The sequence below is a fragment of the Homo sapiens genome, chromosome 7 (genome assembly GCF_000001405.40).
Source record: "Homo sapiens chromosome 7, GRCh38.p14 Primary Assembly".
NCBI lineage: Eukaryota > Metazoa > Chordata > Mammalia > Primates > Hominidae > Homo > Homo sapiens.
In genome coordinates, this window is record NC_000007.14 from 143,513,321 (window position 1) to 143,528,317 (window position 14,997).

General features: G+C 38.5%; 1 long non-coding RNA gene across 1 annotated transcript in view, besides 1 other annotated feature; it reads left to right on the forward strand.

The window, feature by feature from the left end:
• The window catches only part of EPHA1-AS1 (EPHA1 antisense RNA 1), a 115,637-nt gene extending 105,508 nt beyond the window's left edge, over window positions 1-10,129 (forward strand). The window contains exons 4-5 of the long non-coding RNA NR_033897.1: window positions 4,962-5,197; window positions 5,611-10,129. This is a non-coding gene — a long non-coding RNA (EPHA1 antisense RNA 1). The remainder of the gene's footprint in view (window positions 1-4,961; window positions 5,198-5,610) is intronic.
• Window positions 8,356-8,650: a silencer, noted in NCBI's record as "tiled region #13206; HepG2 Repressive non-DNase unmatched - State 24:Quies, and K562 Repressive DNase matched - State 9:DNaseU". NCBI's record gives its function as "represses a minimal TATA promoter and a strong SV40 promoter by Sharpr-MPRA in HepG2 and K562 cells {active_cell/tissue: HepG2 | K562}" and the evidence as "EXISTENCE:reporter gene assay evidence [ECO:0000049][PMID:27701403]".
• Window positions 10,130-14,997: the final 4,868 nt, after the last annotated feature.

Genomic DNA, 14,997 nt, shown 5'->3' on the forward strand with positions numbered 1-14,997 from the left:
AAATCCTCCCACTCCAGTATCCTGAGTAGCTGGGACTACAGGCACACACCACCATGCCCAGCTAACATGATGGGGTTTCACCCTGTTGCCCAGGCTGATCTCAAACTACTGAGCTCAACAATCCATCTGCCTTGGACTCCTAAAGTGCTGGGATTACAGGTGTGAGCCACCATGCCCTGCAAAATACCTCTTTTTGAGAGGAGAATTCTAAGGGTTTTTATTTCTCCGTGTCACTCTGTGCTCTTCCTCATCCTATCTGAGGGCAGCACTTTCAAATGGATGTTTTCAGTCTTCTAATGGAAGAGTAGGGTTGGGTTTTGGGTAGGTCTGAGGGAGGTGGATTCATTTCCCATCTGTTTTAGATCATTCACTTTTCAGTTTTTGGCCACCCTTCATGCTGTTGAGCAAATGTAACAAACCTGTGTTGAGTGCCTCCTCTTCGCCAATTATTGTTTGCTATGAACATGAGAGAGATGCCTGGCTTTCTTGGAGGATTCCTGAAGTGCCAGGACAACTCTCTTCTCTCCGCCTCTGCTCTGTTCTCTACTTCTTCCTCTTCATCTCCTTAGAGAAGCGTGATGAGCACAAGGGAATGCAGAAGAAAAAAAAAAAAACAGAAATATTCCAGTTCTTCCTCCAGGTTCATACCACACAGAAATGTAAATGACAAGCAAATCCCATTGATGGCACCAATACCTAGCAGCTCAAGGTACATCGTGTTTTAAAAACATTTGTGTGGAAGTTAAAACAAGTTGAACTCAGAAGAAGTAAAAAGCAGAACAGAGGATAGTAGGGGTTGGGAGGTAGGGGGAAGGGGGCTAGGAACAGATCCTTTGTTAAAGGATACAAAATTACAGCTAAATAGAATTTCTTATGTTCTACAGCATTGGAGGATGACTGTGATTAACAATTTTATATAGTTTCAAATAGTTGGAAGGAGGATATTGAATGTTCGCAACACAAATAAATGATACATGCTTGAGATGATGGATATACAATATCACTATACATTATATGTATCAAAACATCACTAAGTTCCCCATAAAAATGTGTAATTATTTGTCAATTACACAATAAAATTTAAAAAAAGTGCTCTAAAGCAAGTCAAAGGGGCTAATTAAATGGAAAAGAGACTAAGGCGTGTTTCTGCTCTTAGAGTTTTTAGGAGGTATTGTCACAAATTCTAGGAATGTATGTTTCAGTCTTTTCTCTGGGAGAGGGAGGGAGAACAGATACTTTCAAAGCTTCAGTGATTCAAATCCAACTCTACCCTAGGAGGAGAAGTTACAGAGAGAGAAGAAAACACCACAAGGCCTGCCTAAGCCACCTTCCTCCCCCAGGGAGAAAGCAGATGTTCTTACTCTTCCGAGTGATGAATAACATCAGCTATAACAGCTAACATTTAAGAGACTGCCAGGCAATGCTCACGAGGACTTTGCAAATTTAATTTAACTTATTCTTAGTGACAGTGCAATAAGGTTAGTGGACTCTCTCCATACCCATGTTATAGATGAGGAAATTGAGGCCTAAGGAAATGAAACATCATCTAGCTAATTAACAGTATAGCCAGATTTATACCCAAGCAATCTAGCCCCCAATAGTCCATAGTCTTATCCACTATATAGTCGTCCTTATTTATACCTTTTCCAAAACATCCTTCCCTCATGAGACACATCTTACCCTTCTTTTCATATACCCCACCTTCTGCAGAAGAGAAATCACCCACGGTCTCTAGGCATTTCTGTCCTCAGATTTCCCTTTGTTGACATTTTTCTTGAGGACATGTGGATGTGAGCAGCAATGCAGATAATCTAAGATAGCAAATCTAAAAATAATTTCTCCTTAGCTTTGACATTCATTGCTGCTATTGTTATTGTTCCGGCAGATTCACTTTTTTAATTGGGTAAGACTCCATGGAGCACCCACAGAGTCATGGCTGGCTGGTGGCCCAGGACATCTGGATGTGGCTGAGAGCCTTGCTGGGCTGGAGATGCAGATCTGAGATTTGATTTTTTGCTGTATAGAATAATTAAAATTATCTGCAATCATGATGTTTTTAATCGGCCATTTCAAGAGTCAATGGAAGCACCCCTAAAGGGTGGATGTGGGATGGGAGATGTGAGAGCTAGACCAGTCAGCCCCTTTCAGGTTTTGAGGATTCCATAGAATGCTGAACTGGAATGGAGCTTAAAGGTCAAACATTCTAGGCCTTCATGTGAGGTCCAGAGATGTCACTAATCAGACTTGGATCTCACCATGGTCTTTTAGCAGGAGAACTGGACTAGAGCCTGGTTCTCACACCTCTGGCTGAATGGTTCCATTTCTGTAAGAATTGTCTTCCAGAGTAGACCTGAGCTTACTGATCTAGTATTATAGTTTACAAAATCACCAAATGAGAGGTCACAGCAGAATTTTATCATTGTCCTATAGTAGTTTAGGATAAAATTTTATCATTTCCCTGATCTGGTAAGAAGTTAAACTTAGAAGATTATGAATATGCCTGGATTTCTTAACCTCATTTAATAACTCTTCATAGGCTTCTGGTCTATGAATTTATATAAATTATTCTGGAACCCACTTTTATCCAGTGATTCCTTTTAGGAATAACACACTATACATTCATTTTTTTTTTTTAGCCTTAGTCCTTAGTGAAGTAAAAGGAGTCTCCATAGTTTATATTTCTGCTTTGTTGTTTATAGTTTATATTTCTGCTTTGTTGTTTTCTGAATGCTTGATGTGGGGAAGGGGCAAGGTAATAAACTCTTCCAAAGTCTCAGACTCCTCACTGATTCAACAGAGGGTAACAAAAGAGGCTTGATGATGGATGATTCCATAGAAATAACATGTACAAATTTCTGGTACAGACCTGATACATAGTAGGTGCAGAAAAACACTGAAAGCATTTTTACTTTTATCCTTTATTACTTGACAGGCTTAAGTCATATTTTCTCTGAGTATTCTCCCTCCCACCATGGAACTCTCCATAAGCGTGCTGTTTCAGGGGATTACCTAGTGCCTTTTCTCTTTCTGAGGTGCAAGAAGTAAAGTGAGTGTATATCTGGGTGTGGGAACCTTATGAGGAGATGAGTAGACATAGATGTAGGGAAGTCTGTCTATCTGTCTGTCTGTCTTCTATCTATCCACCTATTTCTATCTTTCCACTTATTTTCCCTCCTGCACTTCCTACTGTCTTTCTGAGACTGTACAAGCTATGGAAGAAGACATCACTAGATTAAAATCCTGGCTTAATCACTTATGTGCCATATTGACTTTGGTTGATGTACTCAATTTCCATGATCCTCAGTCTCTACATCTAAATGGAGATAATGATGCCTAATTCATAGGGTTGCTGTGAGAATCAGGCATATTATAAAGAAAGCCCATTACATAGTACCAGGCATGAAGAAGCTAACAAAAGGTGGTTTCTAATCATTTCATTTGACTACTCTGTCTTCTACAATGTCATGTCAGTCTTTGTGCTCCCTCTGCATAGCAGCCGACAACTGCAATTACTGTAATGCCTCCTTTCCCTACATCATACAGGCCTTTTTCTTGGTTTATGACAGATAACTTGAAAATAATTAATTTACATATATTTGCATTATATATGTTAAATTTAAATTTATTTTATAAAAGAAAACTCATTTACTATTCTTCTTGTTTTTTTTTTGCTGTCATGCAAACTTCCACATTTTTTAGTGTTTTTTTTTTTCCTCATCAATTTGGTAATTCCTTTACTGAAAGGAGGTAAATGTCATCTCTGGATTTATCAACTTCACTGTGTTGTCCCTCCCCAACCTTTTATGATCTCAGCCTCCATCGCTGGGATATGTGTTATTTGCCTGCATGGTGTTTCTGTCTTGTGAGCCAGTTCCTTTTACATGATAAAGCCGCCTACTGAATCTGTGATGACTAAATTTGGTATGAGATCTTGTCAAGGTCTTTTGAAAGTCTAAATAAAAGAAACCCTCTGTTAGTTTCTTGTTGGCTTCTTTCTCTCTCAAAAGCATTTAACTATTAACAGATTCAATAGGGAATGTTTTCCTTACACAAACATTCTTGCTTTTCCCCCTTTATGGTGTTTTCTGAAGTGTTTAGTGATCCTGCACGTTATACAAATGAGATATCCTGGGTAGCTGTGGCATCAGCCCTGGAGCCCTTCTTTAACATGATGGTTACATGGGCAGTCTTTTAGTCTGCTAGTTCTGGGTCAGTATGCGACCTTTGTTTTTGCCTTTTGACCAACACGTTCCCCTCAAGCTTCCTGACAAGTCATAATTACCAGTCTCGGCAACATGTGCACCTGTGTTTAGACCTCCTGAATAGTTGCCACTGCCAGTTCTCTTTTCTGCAGAAGTCAATGATGGGATCAGGGCTTTGAGGAAAGCATCATTTCAGGCTCCCTGGTCTCTTTTATTTTCATCTGGAGAGGAGCTTTGAACCAGGAAAATCTAGGAGTCCTGCTGATATTAGAGCTGACTTTGATGCTTAAAAAAAAAAAAAATTCCTTACTTCAATGAGGCAGTACCCGTTTTAACTAATGTCTGTAACTCAGGCTTCTGCCAGAGGACGAGGGATAAGCTTCAAAAATGAGCACTTGAATGTTCCACATCAAAATTATCTGGTGGAGGGACTGTCCCAGTTCTGGTGCTGTGAAGGTCAACTTCATCACACATAGATGCATGATATTGTACTTTCACATTTTGAAAACGACCCTAGGCCTGAGGATTAGTTACTTTATCTACTTGAGAAATATTAGCATTTAATAGGGAAGCTAGTTTGTTTTCAAAATTTGTTTCTAAAAATAACTATCATTTTCCATGAAGTTGATTTTAGTAGACTTGAACATACTTTAAACTTCTAAACATCATTTTGTGCTACAAAACAGCAAGTGATCTCCCTCGAAAACCCAGCAAGACCCTCCTTCTAAAAGATGTTTTTCTGTTTCTTGCTGGCCATAGATGAGAGCTGGAATGAAGTACCAGGGCAAGGGAGCTGCCTGGATGAGGAAACCAAGGCTATCTCAGTACTGCCAAGGTGTTTTCATCATTCATCAAAATGCAAAAGTAAACACTGGTGAGAAAAACGATGTTGATCTCCCAGGCAAGCCACTTTCCAGGAGTGTGGCTGATTATTTTCAAATGCTGCATCGGAAAGTTGCAGGCCCCTTGGAAAATCTGTCACCCCTGAGAGTGATGTGAGTGATTTTGGCTTCGGGGGCTCTTTCCAACGGGATCATTTCCCTGCCATCCAATTGCCTGCCTTAGTGTTTCCAGAATAGATCCCTGTGGTTGCTGAGAAAGAGCAATAAATGCCTAAATGATTCAGGAGGCCCGAGGCTGGGCTCTGAGGGGGGCCCAGTCTCATCAGTGGGGAGTCTCTTCAGTGGCGGATCCTGTTATTGATGTGGTCTGGGGCCTGGGGATTTTGTTCTTTGACCAAGACAAAGGAGTAATACATGGAGACTTTCCTTCCTAGGCTTTGTCTGAGGTCAAATATTTGTTCTCCCATGGAGCTGAAAAATAATCAAGGATATCATCTTCTTGAATATTCTCTATTCTGCTTCTAAGAGTTGAAGAAATAATATTTTCCTCAATTCTATTTTTACAGATTATTCTACAGAAACAACACATCACTGGATGCCTCTCACCATGCAATCCTCTGTGCACTTGAGAAGAAGACAAGACTCTCCTATTTTTAGATGGGAAAGCTGAGGCAAAACGGATGCACTTGGGCAAAATCATTTGATAAAAATGGAAGCTGAACCTCCAAGTCCTGGCATCGGTAGCTGCCTCATGTTCCTCCCGCCTCACTCCACCTCAGTGTACCCGCGACTGGAGGGTGCCACAGGCTGGAGCACACAAAACACTGTGTGCTTCGTGATTCTGATGTGGGGCGCCAGATCCGGTGGAAGGAGGGTGGCTGCGTGGGAACAGATGCTCGTGTCACAAGGAGTTGTCTCTTGTGGGCAAAGCAAGCTGGAAAGTGTTTCGATTTCTTTATTTTCATGCTCTACTCTTGGTGCTTCCTTCTCCTTTGCCCACCAATCCCCCCAATGCCAGGCTTCTCCTTACCTGGGTGCAGAGAGAGGAACAACTTGGAGGTGGGCAGAGAGGGACTCAGTTCATGGTGCTTGGAGGTGGGAGAGCTCCCAGGCAAAATAGAGAGGAGACTGTGGAGATGCCGTGGGCAGGTGTGGAGGAGAGGGAGAGCTTGAACGGTGAAAAACAAGAGATGGAGAGTCTGGGAGAAGGGTGAGCAGCCAGAATGGGGATTTCCACAGTAGCTTCTGATGAGCTATGTCTGGTCAGAACTATAACCTTAGCTTCCTTTATTTCCCTGGAGGGGTGGGGAGATAGGAAGGAGAGGAGTATACTAGTCTCTTCCAAAGGGAGGGCCAGAGCAAAAGCGTCCTGTGATTAATTACTCACCACAAAAACCCTCTTCAAGGCTGGAGACCTAGGAGGGGCTTGGCACACAGACAACTCCTCTGCAGCTGTTCAGAGAAAAACAGCTCTTCCCATCTCAAGCCGCCCACCTGCCCAGTGTGCTGTCTGTCCCACTGGTCACACACTTTCCCTAGAGTGCTTCTTGCTTCTCTCACAGCAATTCCCACCTCCGCATGCTGGACCAGGCGGCCCCCTCTAGATCCCATGGTGAAGCATCAGGTGCCCACAGGTCTAAGATGTCTTCATTTGTTCAATGGCTAGAGCAGGCAGCTGGCTGTCCAGATGCATGAATGAATTCCCTAACTCTCACATGTCTGCAGGAAACTGCTGTAGGAAGCCTGCACCAGTGGATTGCCATTCGGGCAGATCCTCTCAACTTTGAGAGCTTAAGGCTTGCTTTTGAGTATGTGATTATGATCCTGCCTGTGTGTATGTATGTCAGAATCATAGAACTCTAGAGGTCATGTTTTAATTAATTTATTCATTCATTGATTCATTAACAAATGCTTATTGAGTACCTACTATGTGTCAGGCTGTGATCTGGATACTGAGGCACAGATCAGTGAGCAAAACAGACCAAAAGCTCTGTCATCATGAAGCTTATATTCTAGAGAGAAGAGATATACTATCATCAAATTAAGTCAGTTATGTAGCATATTAGAAAGTGATAAGTCCAGTGGGGTAAAATAAAGGAGGATGATGGGGAATGTGAGGGGCGGCATGCAATTTTAAATAGAATGTTTGAGGAAGGCTTTCATGGGAAAGTGATATTTGGTGCAAAACGTGAAGGCGGTAAAGAGGTGAATTATGTGGCTATGTCGGGGATGGACATTACAGGCAGAAGAATTAGTTAGTCGGGGCTCTGAGCAGGGAGCAGGTCTGGCATGTTCCCATCCCAGCAAGTAGGCCAGTGTGGCTCTGGTGGAGTAAGCAAGGATGGAATTGCAGCAGGTGAGTCCAGAAGAGTGATAATGGACAGCCAGTTGGGGGTGCCTTCCAGGTGATTGTGGGAACTAGGCTTTATTCTGAGTGTGATGGGTAGCCACTTGGGGCTTTCAGGACAGGATGGTAAAAAAAGGATCATGCTGCCTGCTGTGTTGGGAACAGACTGTATGGGACCAGGTGAAAGCAAAGCAGTCAGCCTCAAATAATTCAGGTGAGGGAAAACGTGACTTGAATAAGATTCACTGTAGAAGTGGTGAGATATAAGTGGATTCTGGATATAATAAAAATATAGAGCCAGCAGGATTTTCTGATGGATTAGCTAAGGAGTGTAAAGAAATAGAGGAGTCAGAGTGACTTTTTTTTTCCTTGAGCAACAGGAAGTGGAGAGGTATCATTACCTGAAAGGAGGAAAGCCTCAGGTAGAGAAAGTTTTAGAGGAGGTAAGATCAGAGGTTTAGTGCAAGACATGCTAAGTTTGAGATGTCTATTAGATACCCAAGTGGATCTGTCTAATGGGTATTTAGACAGATCCACTTGGATATCTGTCTCAATGGACATGTGATCTACATGTAGTTCACAGGATAAGTCCAGTTTAGAGTACCAATTTGAAGTCATCAAATGTAGGTGGCATTTAAAGTGGTAAAACTGGACTGAGCACAGTGGCTTATGCCTGTAACCCCTGCATTTTGGGAGGCTGAGGTGGGTGGATAACTTGAGGTCAGGAGTTCGAGACCAGCTTGGCCAACATGGTGAAACCCTATCTCTACTAAAAATACAAAAAATTAGCCAGGCATGGTGGCACATGCCTATAATCTGAGCCTCTCGGGAGGCTGAGGCAGGAGAATTGCTTGAATCCAGGAGGCAGAGGTTGCAGTGAGCCAAGATCGTGCGACTGCACTCCAGCCTGGGTGACAGAGTGAGACTCCATCTCAAAAAAATAAATAAATAAATAAATAAATAAAACAAAAATAAAAAATAAAGTGATAAAACTGGAGATCACTATGAGAATGAGGATAGCTAGAGAAAAGAAGGGGTCCAGAAGGTTATCCTTGCTGTGCTCCAAGGTGCTTGAGTTTGGAAACATGAGACAAAACCAGAAACAGAGACCCTGGGAGAGTCTGTGGTCTCCATTTTTCCGCTGAGCAAACCACAGGCTTGTGTTCTGCCTATCTCCCACTTCGCACATGTACAGCATTGTAGAATATTTACATGGAAAAGGATTCTATGATATAGTAGAGTGACTTCCCCTATTGATAACAAACAATTATGTCAGTCCCTACACAACTCTTATGCTAAAGGTAATGGGGAGGGTTGAATGGTACTCATTTGGGCAGCTTTTTTTTGGCTATGTATACTTTCAGAAAGAATTTACCTCACCTAGATCACATGACTAAAATATAGGAATATTAATACCCACTGTGTCTAATTGGCAGATTGTTTTGAGATTTTAAATGAGATCTATTCATGAAAACATTTTGTTAATCTTAAAGCACCACACCAATATCACCTATTATATTGTACAGCCATGATCAACACAATTTCCAATCTAGAAGTCCCTCTCAACTTTTCCTGGGACTGAGCTTTCAGGACTTAGAGTTCCTTCTCCTTCTCATTCTTTTTCTGCGCATAGTCTCCCGGTAAAGTGAAAACCAGCTGAGAAAAGATTCGGGCTGGACAGGCCTCCGTGGCGATTAAGAGTCACGAATGTGATGATATTATTCGCAAACAGCAGTGTAGTCATGGTTCAGAATTTTGGAAACAGTGCCAGGAGGATCTTGGACATAATTTTCAGGGTGTATAAGCCCTGCACTAAAGTAAAGTTTACCAGTGCCAAGAGTTTGACGTTTTCTTCTTCATGTTTTCTTTGGCTGGAGCCTGGCTTTAGTTGAAGAGTTCTGTCAACAAATGGAATTCTCTATTTGGGACTGGGATTCTTGATTGGTGGTGCTTCTGTCTCCTCTTGCTGTGAGTTTCCTCAAACTTAGAGTCCTGTGGGATCTGTGTTTGAACAGAGACTGGAAATGCTTACCTCATCTCCACATTTCTTAGCCATTTGTCACCAGACTGTAGATTGACTGGTGGGATGCCTGTTTCTAGAGAGAAAAGATACTGCTTTTCTCTGACTCCAGCTGAGAAGAGGTTGGTTAAATTACGAATCTGATGACTATCTATGAACCTAAGGAGGAAAAGTTAATTTCTTTTGAGGGTTTGCATAATGTTTTAAAACAAATTTATAGAAATATAGATGATGGAAAAAAGCAATAGGGTAAACCTAAATTATTAAAAATAAATAATACATAGGAAATAAACAGCATAGAAAAGAAACAAAAAAGAGATTGTTACCAAAAACCATAAGTTTTTTTTTTTTTGAAAATTCTAAGAAGGTGGATAAATTTCTGGAATTTTCAATGAGCAAAAAAGTGAAAAGATACAAATGAATAAAAAATGAAAAGGTAGAAATTAAAATAGGTCTAGTAGAGATTAAAAATAATAAAAGAATATTATTAAAAAGTATTGGTGGATAAAATAGGCACATATCTGAAGATAAAAGCCGAATTGACCCCCTAAAAAGCAGAAAACTTACAATAACAATCATTAATGGCTTTGAATGGCTATGAAAAAATAATATCTCTGCCCTCTTCACTACTCCCATGTAAAATAATTTTACGGGTAGATTTTACCAACGTTTCAAGAGAGACATGATTCCCAAATATTATGTAAGTTTTTTCAGAAAATGAAAAAAAAGAAAACATTAACAACTCATTTTATAAAATTTGCATAATTTAGAAAATGCATACACTAATTTTATAGATAAAAGCATTTAAAAATATTATCCAAGTTCAACATTTTAAAAAGCAACACATTTTTACAATTTTCTCAGGAATAGAAAGATAGTTCAACTCCAGAAAATCTAAAACAGAGTCATCTCAATATACATGAAAAAAAGATGAAAATTATTAGAAAGCTAGAAATACACAGGAATTTTATAATCTAATAAACCCTATGTACAAATATTCCACAACAAATTTCATGTTTAATGGATAAATCTGAGGCACTTATTTTCAAGTCAGGAACTAGATATATATGCTTTGTATAAGTGATACCTGTCAGCACAGTGTGCTAACAATTTTAGTCAATACAGTGAAAAAGAAAATAATTGTTATAAATAATACATTGTAATTATTTGCTGATGATATGATCATTTACATTTAAAATGCAAGAGTATTAATGGCAAACTAGTCACACCAATAAGAAAGTTCAGCAAAATTTTCTAACATAAGATCAACATATAAAAGTAAATAAGTTTTCTCTATATCAACAATATTATATTAGAAACCATAATAAAAAGAAGCAACACACTCATAAAATATATAGAAATGAATTTTTTTAATGCATAGGATTTATAAAAAAATTATAAAGCCCTAGTAAAGCACAAGAAAGAAAGTTCAAATAAATGGAGAAATACACTATGTTCATGAATGGGGAGACTTTATCTTGTAAATACATCGGTTTTTCTAAGTTTGGAATATATTTAATGCATTTCCAATAATAATTACAAGAAGAATCATGGGAAAAATTCCATATTGATTTAAAATATATAGAGAGAAATAAAGGTCCTAAAATAGTTAACACAGATTTTAACTTTTGAATTAAGGTGGAGAGAAGAAAGGATGACTAATCCTTCTAGATATTAACAAATACTGCAGAGCAACAATTAGTAAAATACATTCATTTTTGTATAAGAATAAGTAGATATACAGTACAAGATCGACAGTCCAGAAACAGACTGATATCTCTACATGAACTTGGTAAATGATGGTGATGGCATCGTAAATCAGCGGAAAATGTTTTAAGTTTAAAATAAATGTTCTATGGAAAGTAGGCTAATTATATGAGAAATAATCAGTTAAATGCTCCAGATATACCAAGAAGATATAAAATACATAGGACTTTTCAAGAAAAATTGATGGATTTGACTATAAAAATAAATAGTTTGGCTAACACAGGACAGCATAAGTCAAAATAATAGTCCAGGAAGTGATATTTACATCATTAATGACAAAAATTCTAGAGCTATATAAGGAAAATCACTAATTAATTTAAAAATTAGACACAGGATGCAATTAAACTGTTTAACAAGAGGAATTTGAATGGACAAGTCTTTGAAGAGAGTCTTCTCAGCATTGCTTTTAGGTAGAGAGTAACATTTAAATTACCATGCAATCTCTTTCTTCTTCATTTTAACCACGTCTTACCATTAGACTTTCAGGATCAAGCTATCTGTTGCTAAGAAACAAAAGCAAAATTGCCTTTTTCTCAACAGATTTAAGTGAAAATCAGTAGTCAGTTCAGGTGTGACTCTAAGAAGACACATTGGAGAGTATGCTGGGCTTACATGAAGCTAGCCACGTGTGTTGGCTCACACATCTATCTTGCATTGGTTCCACGTTCCTTCTCATGATCCTCTGAGCAGAAATATTTTTCACAGTTATTAGTTACAATTTGCTGGAAATTGCAACCCATTGGAGTTTTTTTCCCTTGTTTTCTTAAATTCACTAATAAACATATGTGACACTTTTTGAACTATTTACCAAACGTGACTTTGAGGCTACATTACCAACTTCAGCCAGGTGGTTTAACACATTTGAGCATCACACTTGGTGCTTAAAAGGTGCTAAGTAAAATATTAAATGAATCCAGCAGGAACAAATGAGAAACCCATTTATAATCATTGCATTGGCAAAAATTAAAATGCTGGAAAGCATAAGTGTTGGTGAGGTTGTAGAGAAACAAGAACTCTTCTCTACTGAGAGTGGAGGGATAAATTAATGTTGTTATTCTGGAGAATAATTTAATAATACTAGTGAAATTACATATATTCATATTCTATGGCTTTGCAGTTTCATTACTGAGTATACACCCCTCAGTTACTCTTCTGGAGATATATTAAAGATAAGTTCTCAGAAGTTTACTTACTGCAGCACAGTTTGAACCAACAAAGAGTTGGAAATAACTCGAATGCCCATTAGTGAGAAATGGATAATCAAAATGTGAAATATGCAAGTAGTGGAGTACCATGCAGTAGTTAGAAGTAATAAACTACATTTAAGTACATCTACATTAATAAATCTCAAAAATATGATGATAAGTAAAACAAGTTAGAAGAAGAAATGTAGCAAAATGCCAAGTATGTTAAAAACACAAGAGTGAGTACCTGCATGTAATGTTAAATAATACTACCAAATATAAGGATATAAAAAGAGCAATCCTGCATCACTGATAATATTCTACTATAAGCTGATTGTTGTAAAGTTAGTTTTTTTGCCTCTAAAATAAAAATAAAATTTGCAGTAACCTTCAAAATTAGTAAATAAAATTAAAAAATAGAACTATTAGGAGCTACAAACGATTTGGGTCAGTGTGAGTCTCATGTATATAATTTCCATTCACATTTAGTGTGCTGCACATTTTCTTACATCAATTCATTCATTCTGTGAATTCATTCATTCTATGAATTCATTCTATCAATTCATTTATTGCTTATTGATAACTAATACCATTCATAATTCATAATTGCTTATTGATAACTAATACCATTCTAATGATTGTTCCTTCTCTTATTATCCATTTTTCTCATTTGAGGTCTATGGTATCACGAGTTGATATCAGAAAGTCTTGTTACCATTGTCTATAAATTTCTAAGATTACTTTTACCATCTTTGATGATTTCTGGTAATAAAGGCTGGGCAATATAGGGATGCAGACAATATTTTTGATCTACTTGCTGTCACATAATCAGTTTCCTAAATGAAGTAATACTTCATTTATGGAAACTTGTTGTCAATTTTCCTGTCCATCTGTCTTCTGGTACATTTTCAGTGACTTCAGCATTTATGTTATAATATGCTAACCATGCTTCCCATTCTTTACTATTTCTATTCCTCTGCTTAGCTAGTAGCAAGGAGATCCTTAAGCCCCATGACCAATTGTCACTAATCCTCTAAGATATCTCCTGAACCTTTTAACTATAAACCCTTGTTTATATAGTAAGACTGCCCATTTATTATAATTTCAGCCACTCCATTAGCTTTGCTTCTGATCAGACACTTAGCAACTTTTTTGATTACCAGTGCCTGGCCAAAGTTCACGTGGGTTCCTATACATGCTTAATAATTGTCTGCTCAGTTGCTGATGAAATCTCTATATCTCTGCCAATCAACCTTCTGCTTTTCTCAAGCCTAATCCTGCTCACTTTATTCTCAGACAGATGTTTTTTATTTATTATTACTGCTCCTGCTCCTTCTCCCTCTACCACTACCACTACAATAGCTTAGGAAAGCTCCTGGAACATAGTAAACACTCAGTAAATGTTCACTGCTGTTCTTATCAATGCTACTACACTACTGTTAAGTCTCCTAGGACCACCACATGGTGAACATTTATTATATATCAAGCCTTGTGCCAAGTATTTTACACGTATCATCTCATATAATTTAATATATTTTTACTGAGAACATTGAAACCATTCAAAAAGTAATCTTTAGCTTTTTTCAAAATTGATTTCCTTATAAAGTAACACCTTTTAATCTCACAAAAGAGGTCTGCTCACCCTGTCCAAGACCAACACCTTGATATGTATTTTCATCCTCTGTCTTTTCTGTCACTTCCAAGGCCCTGTTTTGTTGCCTTCTGACTTCTAGATTCTTCAGTCTCTTCCACTGGCTCCTTTTTTGGCCTTTCAATATGCCTACGTCTAATTTGTCTTGAAAACCCCCAGGTCTGAATGTTTTTCTGTAAAAGATTCTTTCATATTTTTCTCCTGCCTATCATTGTGCTTATCGTTAGGCATGTTATCTATGCCTTCTTCTTGACTGAATTACATGCACTTGGAATCCATTTCTATTCTTTCTGAACTAATCATTGGTAATAATTTCCTAGTTATCAAAGTCTTCTTCTAGCTACTTAATCTCTATAGGTTTTTCTAATGCATTTTGCCCCTTTGATCACTGTATCCTTGAATCTCTTTCTTCTTTGGCTTTTATGATAGGAGAAGTTCATTTCTATTACATGCTCCCCTGCCTCTTTAAGGCCAGACGTTGTGTATCATGAGGCACCATCTGAAGGATCTTGGAAGTAGACCATGCACAGAAGGTTCGGAATGGGGCAGCAGTGGAGTCAGGATTTACATTGTCAGAAAGAGTCAAAAGGACACAAGAAGGCAGAGAAAAGCAGAAGATTTGTTTTCCTGGCATCAATTAATAACAAAGATTTTAAGAGAAATATTATTAATATTAGTCAAAGAGTTGACAAAAACTGATGGATAGCTGAGATACCTGCACTAGTTTTAGGTGAAATATTATGAAGATCTGGGCAGAGTTGGCCAAAGAGTTTTGGCTAGTTCAAAAACTGATGGAGCTGGAGCAAGGAAGGGCAGCAGATGTGCAGGTGGGCAGTTGGGTGGGCTGACAGGGAGGGAGATAGGTTGGTGGACAGAAGAACAGATAGAAAACAGGAAAAAAAGGCCAGGCACGGTGGCTCATGCCTGTAATCCCAGCACTTTGGGATGCTGTGGTGGGTGGATCACATGAAGTCAGGAGTTTGA